General features: G+C 38.7%; 1 long non-coding RNA gene across 1 annotated transcript in view; it reads right to left on the reverse strand.

The window, feature by feature from the left end:
• Window positions 1-12,939, reverse strand: part of LOC102724465 (uncharacterized) — a 379,687-nt gene that overhangs the window by 90,257 nt on the left and 276,491 nt on the right. The window contains exons 7-10 of the long non-coding RNA NR_187944.1: window positions 8,310-8,411; window positions 7,545-7,611; window positions 5,304-5,339; window positions 4,698-4,846 (exon numbers count right to left, since the gene is read on the reverse strand). This is a non-coding gene — a long non-coding RNA (uncharacterized LOC102724465). The remainder of the gene's footprint in view (window positions 1-4,697; window positions 4,847-5,303; window positions 5,340-7,544; window positions 7,612-8,309; window positions 8,412-12,939) is intronic.

Consider the following 12,939-nt stretch of genomic DNA (forward strand, 5'->3'; position numbering starts at 1 on the left):
TAGAACTCTGACTTAGATGGTATCATGAACAAAGAATAATGCATTTTTAGAGAAACGACAAGATAAAGGAAAAGGAGCTTGAATTTCCAGGGGAGGCAAATTGTGGGGAATCAGGTGGGTGGGAAACTAATGGTAGATAAAAGCTGGTTAGGCAAGTTGGTTATGTAGATGCCTCTGGTGCTGTCTCCAGGCTGATAAAGGTCTAAAGCCATCTTCATCCTTCCTGGTGGAGAGGAAAGGAGGAACACCTTTGAAAATGTATGTCCTGCTTTTAGGTAAATGGAGGAGAGGGCAGAGAGGTTTTCTCTTATTGGCTTCTTTTCAATTGCTTTTGGCTCAAAATAATCCCAAAGTGGCATATTTTAGGATGGCATATTCTGCAACCCTTGACTACAGAAGACCCTGTTCATGAAAAAGTTCCACCCTCCAAGCATAGTAAAATGTTCTAGTCAACAGACTGAATGGTTAAGTAGAGCCAAAGTTCCAAGCTTGGCTGGTCAGACTGAATGAAGTAGAGCCAAAGGGCCAAGCTTTGCTGGGTCTCTCAGATCCAGGAGGAAGTAGTTTGCAGGTTATGATGGGCTTCTTTCAGGATGACATACTCACCCACTTTTGAGATAAATAGCTGGGAACATCCAGTTCTAATCATAAGAGCTTCACCTAATTTTAACATAATTTTTGAATATAGCCTTCAATTTCCTAAGTGAAGGGTAGGGGAAGAATAATGTGTGCTTGTACAGCAGGGCTCCCCAAAGTTATGGGGGAGGGAGGAAGGCTATTTCCTTACTGTTACAAGGCTGCTCTAGCTTTATTAACTGTTTGCTTTTCTTCACAAAATGGTCATGTATTTGGTATTTTGAAATGCAAACTCTTTTAATCTTCTGCTGTTTCATTTCATATGCATTTTAATGGATGTGTTTAACTTGATTCTTGCCTCCTAATGGGAATTAATCCCAGAGGGCACATACTTTATTCAATAAGAAAAATAATAAAATAAAATCGCTAAATGAAAAGCTAAGCTAGTCCTCTTTTAGGCTACTTGGCAATAACTGGCTCACTGAGAAAAACCTCTTTGCCTAGCATCAGTCATGAGTGCATAAGGTCTCCTTGGGACATCTACCCCAGATGAAAAGAACGAGACACAAGTGTGGATTGTGTACACAAGCATTTTGAGTGATTTCATGAGATTAAGAAAAAATTTTAGATAGGCAAAGCCTATATGGTTTCAAATGAAGTTTAAATTTGAGAGTAATGCAATGTCAGCAGTCAACTTAGATAATTGAGATCAAATATTAATTTGTGTCTTGATACGGCTCTAGAGATCACAGATAATACAAACCCCTCTTTTATGTGGATGAAAATCCTTCTCTTCGGTCCTAGACAATTGAGTTAACTGAGAGAATTAAAATGTTAGAAATTGAGGGATAAATCACAGGTGATAAAGAACTACAAACAAACAAACAAATGCATCTCAGAGTACTTGCCTAGAAAAGAGATGATTGCTCCAAGCACCTCCCAAATGACTGCTGAACTCATACCTGTAGCCCACAGTTCCCTGCCATGATGATTTTGGAGACCACAGATTCAGAACAGAATCACTCCAAGGTGGAGGAAGGTCACCTGATATACATTAAACTTTGCTTATGGCAAGAAATTAACCTTTCTGTATTAAACCACTGAGATTTTGGGATTTGTCTGTGGCAGCAAAGAGGATTAGCTTACCTTGATTAATACAAAATTATTGGAATCTTTGGACACTCTGAAGTTAGAATGTAAAAGCTAGAATGAATATTGCTTTCCTGCTGTCATTCAAGAAGAGTAAGACAAGACACCGAAGGAATAATTAAGATGAGATATTTAAAAAAATTAACTGACTCTAATAATTTTAAGATATGGAAATGATCTACTAATAGCCAACTCCAGAGTATTACCTTTTAAGGACAATTAGCAAAAGATGGATAAATCTATTATTAATAAGAATATTACACTGTGTGGTGCCATACATATTCAAAGCATTTTTTCATGGTAGTTTAAATGAAGTTCTGCCAAGGGCCTGGAGGTGACCAGATTATGTCATGAGGTTTTCTTTTTTTTTTCCTGCCTCATAATTCTATAATAAAAACATGTTCCATCTATGTCCCTCTAGCATTTTACCAACAAGAGATTTCTTTCCATCCCATCTTTGACAGAAAAGCAGCATCTATAGCTGAAAATGAAACACACCAAAGAATGCTTGGATAATGGCCTTGGTTTATCTCATAGCATTTTGTTTCTGCCCCTCAGGCAAGCAATTCCTCATCACAATCTCACCAGTGAATCACAGGACTCACACATTGCTACAAACCCTGCCTTTCAGCGTGCCCAGATTGAACCATTATATTTCAACCCACTATGAAATAATCCCTGTGAAACCAGCTGACCTGTTGGAGGGTACTTAGATAACATCGAAATACATTGCACTTAATGCAGTAGGGGATCTGTCAAAAACAATAAAGATTGGTGTAAAAACAAGCCACAAGTTATTGATCTGTTCTATTACAGTTGCTTTGAAAATAACCGAATTTCACTTTTGCCCTTTAATTTCTCCGTCTTAATCACATTCTGTCAAGACCAGGGCACACATATTATGCATAAAAAGGTCAAGAATACCCTTGTGTGCTTCCTGATCCAACACTGAGATATGTCCCAGACACTGTCACACATGCATACAAAATTGCCCACACACAGACCTCTGTGAACTAGACCAGCCAGAAAAATATAGTTTGATGGGACAGGAGCCTCTAAGGTAAATTGACACTACAAGGCATGAAAGAAGGCATCGATAGCAGTATACCCATTTTGATAACCTCCTTTTCAGTTAAATTAAACTCTAGATCTGAACTAGAGTGGGGTGTTTTCGGGAATCTCCTGAGGCTCCTGGACCTATTCCTGGCCAATCTAATTGAGTGGGACACATATTTTCACCATCCTGATCACCAGACATTGGCCTAATTATAAAAGTTGCTTCCATCTATATGGGGCTTAGTAGTCCTGCTGTGTTTGGGGCTTAATTGTCTTTATCTTTAGCCAGTGGAACACTGGGACTTTTGACCTTTAATGCTATACCTAGAAAGGTAGTTCCTTAGCACTTGCTGACTCTTGTACTCTCATTCAGGGCACACTAATGAGAATTCTCTTGGAGAAAAATCATAGTAATAACCCTGTCTTCAAGGATCCAACATTAAGATTTTGACATGACCACAATGATTATGAATGTGTTTCAAAATGTCCCCCAGGGCTACTTGGTCTCATCTAAATGACATCTCTTTGCCTTTCCTTCTTGTTTTCTGTTTGGAGGCATGTGTGCGAGCGCGCGCGCGCGCGCACACACACACACACACACACAAATATGATTGTTATACAAACAGTCTATTCCATTAAAACATCCTCTTCCTACAGATTTCATAAGCTTCTCTGATTGGCCTTTCCAACTCAAGGAACATCTACTCCTTCATTTGTTCAACATCTATTATTGATGCAGAAATAAATGAAGACCAACCAAATGGGAACAGCAAAGTCTATTTATTCTGAGCTTACCAACGCAAGGAAGTTAGCCACTGTCACTTGTGTTTTGGCAGAGACTCAAAAGCAGACAGAGAAGTAGGAAGGTTTATGGTGGAAAAAAAGGAAAGGCTTCAGCTATGCCCCGATTGGAGGCTGTTGGCACAGGGAAGCTGTAGGCTAGCTAACTGGACACAGAATGCTATGTGATTGGTTAGGGGAATATATTTGTCTTTCTCTAGTGGATCCTAAGTTGGGGACAAAAATGAGGGAAGCTTTCAGGTATTAATCAAGTCCTGTTCATTTTAGGCAAATTGTTACAGCAGTTGTTTAGCTTCCTAGAATGTCACTGGAAATAGCAATCTAACTCCCAGAAAAGTCTGACTTACAGCAGGCTGGCTTCCTGGTTTGCTTATAGTAGATAAGGGGTTGATTTCCTGGACAGGTTGCTGCAGGTTGTGGGTTAAAGTTCTGTTTTTATATCTGGTGAGGCCATTGTCTGTGTGTACACTGAATCTCTCACTGAGTATCTACTATGTGCCAGACACTGTTATGGGTACTGGATGTACAGATGAAACCAACAAGTCTTTGCCTTCATGAAGCTTATGTTCCAAAGGGGAAAATATTTCCAAAAAAAAAAAACAAAAAAATATATAATATCATGTCAAGTTCTGTGAGGAACTATGAAAGACAAATCAGGTCAGGTAATTGTGAAAGATAGGGTCATTTCTATTTTAGAGAGAGTGGCCAGAGAAGGCACTTCTGAGTAGCCGATATTTGAGATTCCCTTCTCATATCTGGCTTGTTCTTTTTTCTCAGCCTGTGCTTGTTCCCAAAATACACTGTTGGTGCTAGTAACTTACAGACAATGCCTCATTCCCAGGCTCAAAACCCTCCATATGTCAGAGAAGTCACATGGTATTATGGAAGCTCATAGGAACACAATCTATTTTTCCATTTCAGATGGTTGTATGCCATTGCACACATAATACTTCTCTTTAGCTTCAGTTTGTTCATCTGCAAAATGGAAATAAAAATACCTACCTCATTGGTTTGTTGTAAAAATTAAAAAATAATCAATAATCCACTTGGCATACAGGATAGCATCTTATTAATCTTGAAACATTCTACCTGACATATGTAATATATTGCAATACCTTCTGTGTTCCAGTAACATGGTAAAAAGACTTCATGATCCAAGGGAGACATTTACTGCAGGACCCAGCATGTATCCTTTTTGTTAATTGCAACATAAGCACCTGTCCAACTTCTGCTGAGGGGCAGGCCACTTGAGTAGAATTCATGCCTTTGGGGAGAAAAAAGAATAAGGTGGCTGGCCAGGGGTCTATCCCTTCTAGATCTCCATTGTCTTGGGCATATGTCACAGGCAGTAAGAACTGCAAGAGTCATTAACCCTTCTGGGAAGACTGGTAACTAATCTTTACCCAGTGGGCACCTCCTGCCAGGGTCCAGGCATTCACAGAAGTGTATAGAGTCACAGTGATTCATGGGCTGCAAAGGCCATCTTGGGACTTCATAAATACCACTTTGCTGAAGAAGCAGCACTGTTGAGAAAGCCTGTAATTACCATCTCCAATGACCTCATAAATTCTGAATTGCATTTTTGGAGTCATATTGGCTGCTGGGACTCCCATGCTCTGTCCAGTGGTTTTGCATGCTTGTCTGCTGCCTCAAAAATTGGTAATTATGGAATCTACACCCTAGAGAAGTGCTTCTCATTCTACATCATGAAAAAGAATTACCTGGATAGACCGTTAAAACAGAGTCCGGAGCTGGGGCTGGAGAATCAGCATTGTTAACATACTCCCCTATGATGTTGCTGCCAGCCTGTGGACCACACTTGGAGTAGCACTGCCTTACAGGCCAGTATGTAGAACACTCATTCTCAAACCAAAAAGCACCTAAAAAAAAACCCTTTTTTGTAAAAAAGGCAACATAGAAGATGTAGTTGTGTCCCCTGAACATTAAATTTTCAGCATATGTCATACATTTACAGAAACCTTAAGAACATATATTTGAAACTGGCACTGTCCTAGAAAATTCAGGATGTCTGTTTCCCTGAACTACATGTCATTTTCCCAAATGGGCTAATTAGTTCCAATTTGCAAAGACGTTACAGAGAAATGATTCCTTTTTTTTTTTTTAATCAGCATAGCAAAGTCTCAAAGAGAAAGCAAAGACAATACAAAATATCAGTGCAGACCACATTAATCAACAGATAACATCTTCCCCTAAGCCCCGGCCCTGGTTCTGGCAGTGACTTTACAGGACTGTGGTATATTGAAGAGGAAAGGAGGCTCCTGGCCCCATCCTGAAAAAGGTTGCAATCTAAATTTAGGAAATAAAGCCACTGGAAAGTAGGCAAGGGACTTTGTCTTTGGTGATACAGTGCCTGCCCCTGAGACAGGCTCATAGTATCTTGCATTAATATTTTTAAGGAAATAGAAAGATACCAACTAATCACACAGTTGGGCCAAATGGGAACTTTTTTAAGGGTTACAAACAGCAGTTAATGAGCCTGGCGTGATCCTGTTAGCTGCAGTGTTTCCTTTGAGGACTCCGGATTATCCCTCCATTTCTCTTAATTACTCAACAGTGTTAAATCAATGAAATTAACACCATTCAAATTAGGGAGCCACTATTGAGATGAAATTAATAGACATATTTGTAACTCTTCTTTCTCCTGCATAGATATAATAAATGCCTAAAAAAATCTTGCTTTTTGTTTTGTTGTGTTTCTCATGCCATTGCTGAATTTGCTGGTGTCCCTACCCTGCAGGCAGCATACTGGGGGCTGGAATGTCAAAGTCATCATTTCTTGCCTCTGTTTTTGCCTCAGCAAAAGCAGAGGTATAATATTGATTTCCTCCTGTTCCCCTATTTCTGCCTTGTTAGGATTTTTCTTAGTGATCATGTTTTGCTTGAAGTTATGGAAAAAAAAAAAGAAAGAAAATGAAAGAAAGAAAGAGAGAGAGAAAGATAAAAGTAAAGAAAAAGAATCAGCAAAAAAAATCCCTTACTTTTTTGGTAAAAAGAATAGTAAATTGGAAGGCAGGACACCTGGGTTTTCATCCCAGTTCTTCAACTAACTGGGGGCACGACCTTATACAACATACTTGACTTCTGAGATTCTTTTCTAATCCATAAAAGGGGATATTTGGCCAGGCGTGGTGGCTTACACCTGTAATCCCAGCACTTTGAGAGGCTGAGGTGGGTGGATTATTTGAGGTCAGGTGTTCAAGACCAGCCTGGCCAACATGGTGAAACCCCATCTCTACTAAAAATACAAAAATTAGCCAGGTGTAGTGGTGCATGCCTGTAATCCCAGCTATTCAGATGGCTGAAGCAGGAGAATCACTTGAACCTGGGAGGAGGAGGTTGCAGTGAGCCTGGATCATGCCACTGCACTCCAGCCTGGGCGACAGAGCAAGACTCCATCTCAAAGAAAAAAAAAAAAGATACTTGGTACCCTTCAATTCTGAAAATGTTTGTTGGACATTTTTATTCAACTGGTAGGAAAGGAGACAAAGGAAACAACATTCATTAGGTTTTTAATCTTGTAGAAACTTTCTCTATCGATCTGTGTTGTCTCTAGGTGATATCCATCATCACTTTGTGATGAAGATAACTTTTCTTGTCTCTGAAGACATTATTCACATGGTCTCATAACTGAGTGCTGTATACAATCGTGCATTCCTTCATTTACCTCACAAAATCCAGGATGTCCTTCCCCCCCAGTTAGTTGTATGCTCAGCCATGTCCCATTTCTGATTTCCAAATTTCTCATGATACAGCTTCCTGACCTTCTGGTTGAGATGCAATTAACAGATTAAAAATATGGTAGGGTTTGACATTGCCCCACTAAGGCTTGGCCCATTTTGGTGAGCTCTGTGCTTTCTGCCCCTTGCTTGCTTTCATGTATCTGTGCTACTGAGAACGATATCACCCACCTGGAGATTCACCCACCTGTTCTGGACTTTCACCTTCTGGCATAAATGCAGTGGTGCTTCCATAAACTTCAAAGAAAGTGGTTTAGGCATGGCAATCTGGCTAGAAGTGATGAGTCAGAGATTTATGATGAGAATCTCATCAACATAAACAGGTCAATAAAAACAGCTGTTTATTAAGGATAGTTTAATTCCCATTTTATAAAATTGTTAAACCCCATAGATCTTCTTAGGGGAGAGTGAGCAAAGTAGCAATGTGGTACTGGGTGATCATAAATTATACATAGTGTGCTGAAGATGGGCAAGGCATGTCTGCAATGTGTATCAGATAATACCAGTGATAGAATATTAATCTGTTGAAAAGACAGGCTCTTTTTGAATCTCCTGGTTATGATTTCTGAGGGATGATTTAATAAAACCAAGGAGCTTAGCTTAAGAGTAGAAAGATTTGGAAAGAACAAAATAAACTTGATCAAATATGTAAATGGCACTCCTAGAGAAGGAAGATTTAAGATGAAATAGGAGGACTGGACAAAAATTGGGCTTATTTTGTCTCAATACAAAGAAAGAAATTTCCACCAATTAGAACTGTCCTCCAAAGAAATAAGCTACCATGTGAGGTAGTAAGTTTCGTGTCACTGGAGATGTTCAAGACAAGACCATGTGTCAATTTTAGGAAGAGAATCATGGATAATTACAAAAGAGTTTGGTCCTGGATTATTTTTTATTTCTCTGAATCATATCTTTTTATTAAAGTTCAGTGACATTTCATTTTTTGGAAACTTTTTTATTTCAACTCACTCTGCTTTCTGTCTTTCACAGTTCTCAAACATCCTCTCAATACGGCTTTCCCATTTCTGTTCTCCTTTTTCCCCGTGGGCAGCAGTAATCTCCTTCTTATCACTGTATGGAAATTTCATTCAATTTAATTTATTTCCTGGAACACTGGCTGAGGTCCTATTGTACTTAAGTTCTGTGATAGGTATAATGGAGGATGCAAAGATGAATAACTTAAAGTCTGGGCTTCAGAGAATTTGCAAGATTCTAACAAAAGGAAGAAGACAAGCCTCAAAATAGCTTTTACATAATACTGAAGATAACCATTGCAACTGTGAAAAGTTTGTAGAGATTACATCTACTGGAATTGCTTTACAGGGGAGACACTATTTGAGAAGGATCTTAAAGATTATGGAAGATGGATTTTAACATTGAAAGATAGAGAAAGAAGAGTATTTCTGACATAGAGACCTGGAAGCAGAAAAAGACTGGAAGTATTTGAGACCAGCTAATAACACATTTGTCAGGGAAGATGTCATTGGCATGATGAAATGAACAAAGTAGGTTTTGAGTATCAAGTGAAAAACTTTGAAGTTCAAGGAAAGAAAATTTTATTTATTTTAATTCAAGAAGCAATTCCAGAGTATTTATGGTTTAACAGAAATAGTATGGTAAGAGTTGTTCTTATAGGGAAATTGATGTGTTAATTTTATTTAGAAATGATTAGTATGGAAACAGTCAAAAGTGGAAGGAGGAGCAAATACTGTGATAGTTCGAGAAATAGCAAGATTTTAAAGAAAGGTGTATCTTTGGCAGTGCAAAATAGGTATAGAATCCTGGTGTGTGATTTTTTTTAAATATACATTTATAGTCATTGGTGACAAATTCAGAAATTACAAAGTACAAAGAAGAAAATTAAAATTGCCAACAATTCCTCCAATCAATAGAGATTATCATTTTAACGTATATCTATTCTGACTTTTATTTATTTAGACTTTTTCTTACAAACATGAATGATAGTAGCCATGCCACTTTGTAAACTGCTTTTCAATTGGTAACACATCGCAATTACTTTTTCACATCAAGAAATTCAGTTATATACCATGTTTGTTTGGTTTGGGTTTGTTTTAGAGACAAGGTCTAGCTCTGTCACCCAGGCTGGAGTGCAGTAGCACAACCATGGCTCACTGCAGCCTTCATCTCCTGGGCTTAAATGATCCTCTTGCCTCAACCTCCCCAGTAGTTAGGACTATAGGTGCGCAGCACCACACTTGGCTTTTTTTTTTTTTTTTTTTTTTTTAACTTTTGGTAGAGTCTGGGTCTCACTATGTTGCCCAGGCTGGTCCTGAAGTCCTCTTAGCAAGTGATGCTGCTTTTGCCTCCCATAGCCCCGGAATTATAGGTGTAAGCCACAGCTCCTGGTCCTTTTATATACCATGTTAATGGCTATAGAGTATCCTATACATGTATGTATTATAATTTGTATTATAAGTTATTGAACTACTTCCTTTTTGGGGTCTTAAGTGATTTCTATTTTTTTGTATTATGATAGTGCTGCAATAAATGTGTGTATACCCACTTTTGAATTGTTTTCTGAGTACTTCCTTATATAAATAAAAGTGGAATAGGTCAGAGGCTGCTGCTCTCACTCGTTGTTCCTTGCTTTTATTATTTGATCACTGAAATTTTGCTGAGCACATGGATGCCTACATAAAGGCTACATTTTTTTCCAGCCACCTTTTCAACCAGAAGCTCTAGGCATTGAGCTAGAAGTAAAAGTGTAGTAAAGTACAACTTTTCAAAGTGTTATTTAAAGGTAAAGTCTGCTTTTGGTCTTCCTCAGGCAGAGTTCTAACAGGATGGTTGGAGCCAAAGGAGCCACCGAGGATATGAGAAGACTTTGCTGGGGCGATCGAACAAAAAGATATAGGTCTCTGGGTCCATATCACCTTCTATGGCTGCCAAACCAGCCCTGGACTGCCCACCTCCAGAGAGAAAGAGAAATATACTTTTATCTTGTTTCAGTCATTTTAGAAGTTGGTTTTCTATCACACGCAGCTGAACTAATCCTAACTAAAACAATGGCTTTGAAAGTACACGTATTTAAGGCTTTCTGCACACATTGCCAAATTTGAGTCCAGAAAGTCTGTGCTGATGAATATTCCCACTAGTAATGTATAAATTAGAGTCCCATTCTTCATTTATCCTAGAAAATGCTGGGTACTGTAATTCTTTGTAAGTCTTCACCAATTTGGTAGTTGACAAATGACATCTCTTTGTTTTAATTTTCATTTCCAGGCTCATTCTTCTGAATCTTTTCTCCATTCCCTTCCAACCCTCCTGATGTAACCCTCTCCTTGACTAGTAATTCATCTATGTTAAAAACATAGCCCTTAGGATGAACCAGTTGGCTTTGCTATTCTTTCAATATCTGTCTGTCTTGCATTTCAGAAAGCAGAGATTCTTATCTAAAGACAATGCACCCGGGGTTCTTCCCTGGCCTTTCACTGATGATTTTCATTCCTTGCCAGCCTGATCTCCTCCAGCACGGTGCACTCATCTGTGCCTTTAAAGTGCTCAGGCGATTTTATAGCTGCAAGAAGAATATGAAGGTACAAGTATCAAGCAAATAGGGCAAATTACAAGTATACAGAGGGTTTCAGCATTCATGGCCACGTTTATTTCTCCTTCCTGCCTTCTCACCTCTCTCTTCTCTTTCTTTTGCCTGCTTAACTGACCAGCTCAAGGCTTCTTATTCTATATATCCTTCATCTTTGGGGGAGCAAGTTATTTTCTAACTGGCTTAAGTATATCCTTCAGTGATCAGCCAAAATTCTTCTTTTTGCATCCAAAGGAAGAAACTTTATTCTATATCCACCCTAGATTTTTCTCTTAGACTCTTAACTGTAGTAAACTCCTTTCTCCTCCTGTAAGAATCAGGTCCCTTCAAAAACCCTGCTTAACAGACAACAACAAAACAACAATAACAACTTCCAGAACAAATAATAATATATATTTTTTAATTATAATGAAAGTTTCAACTCAGGCTTTAAAATCTTCATGTTGTATGTCAATCATCTGGTGTCACTTATTTCTTTTCCAACCTAGTCTTTCCCCAATATCTATTATTATCAATGCTGCTTTCCTCTACAGTGTCATGTTAAAGGTATCAACCCTCCAGACAAGACTCTACCTTATCCCATAGAGGCCACTTCTAAATGCATATCTGCACACTGATAGTCACTTCTTGTTATTTATATTACTATAACTATTTACATCCAGAAAATCCAATTGGAGTTTAAATACAATGTTCCTGACCAACATGAACTTCTCCCAAATCCAGTCATGAGTTTAAGGAAGCGGGTAGTACAAATGGTGCTATACTGTTTTCTCCATTCTCATGCTCATTTCAGAATTAGGCCACTTAGGAATTCCTATTCCATCATTTCTCCTGCTGACTTCGGGGATTATTCATGAGTCCATCTTGAAACTTACATTCTACTACTGTGTACATTATCTGGGGTCCTTCTCTGACTGCATTATTTTGACACTTTTTAATATAAACCTTTATTGAGTATATACTACATATCAAGAACTTTTCATGCATCTTCTGATTTAATTCTCAAGATAACCTTATGAGGCAAGTGTGATTATTAGCCCCATTTTAAAAATGAGGACACTAAGTCTCAAAGACCCAGTTAGTAAATGGTGGAAACAGAATTTCTAAAACTGATCCTGAAAGCCTAAAATTCATCCCATCAATGACACTCTGCTGTCTCTTCCTAAATCCTCTAGCTTTTTCTCTGTTAGCCCATTATTCCGCATTTTCATACAGCTTTTTGCCACTCCGACAACTCTGCCTGGAGGTCCTTCTGCCATCTGCATATCAGCTTGGATTAGACTGAACTATTGACTTGCCAGGGCCTGTAAGTTTAATAATAACAAAGTGGCTACACCACACACTCTTCATTTTGGCCGTCTCATCCCTTAAGGCTGGGAAGGCTAAATGGAATTATAAATAATATCAGCTGTGATGAAAGTCAAACTGTAGCTATCAGGTTCTCCACAGTCTGCTTTTTTGATGACAATAGCTATCAATAATTAAAGGTTAATAATGTATCAGACATTATGCTAAGCTTTTGCATTAGATCATTTGATCCTTACATCAACCCTAAGAGGATGACACCATTATTGTTCCCATTGTATTATACGAACAAGAAAATAGATTAGAAGACTTCCAGTAAACAGTCCACATCATACAGTGAACACATGGCAGACCCATATTTTGAATCCATGTCTGCCCAAATTCAGAACCTCCTTTCTTAACCACCATATTACTCCATTCTTGCATTGCTATAAAGAACTGAGGCTGGGTAATTTGTAAAGAAAAGAGGTTTAATTGATTGAAAGTTCCATAGGCTGCACAGGAAGCATGACTGGGGAGGCCTCAGGAGACTTACAATCATGGCAGAAGGCAAAGGGGAAGCAGTCATATCTTCACATGGTGGAGCAGGAAAGAGAGAGGGCAAAGGGGGAAGTGCTACACATTTTTAAACAACCAGATCTCCTGAGAATGTGGTCACCATCACAAGAACAGCAAGGGGGAAGCGGTGTGCCCCCATGATTCAATCACCGCCAACCAGGGCCCTCCTCC

This window comes from Homo sapiens, chromosome 15 (genome assembly GCF_000001405.40).
Source record: "Homo sapiens chromosome 15, GRCh38.p14 Primary Assembly".
NCBI classification, from domain to species: domain Eukaryota; kingdom Metazoa; phylum Chordata; class Mammalia; order Primates; family Hominidae; genus Homo; species Homo sapiens.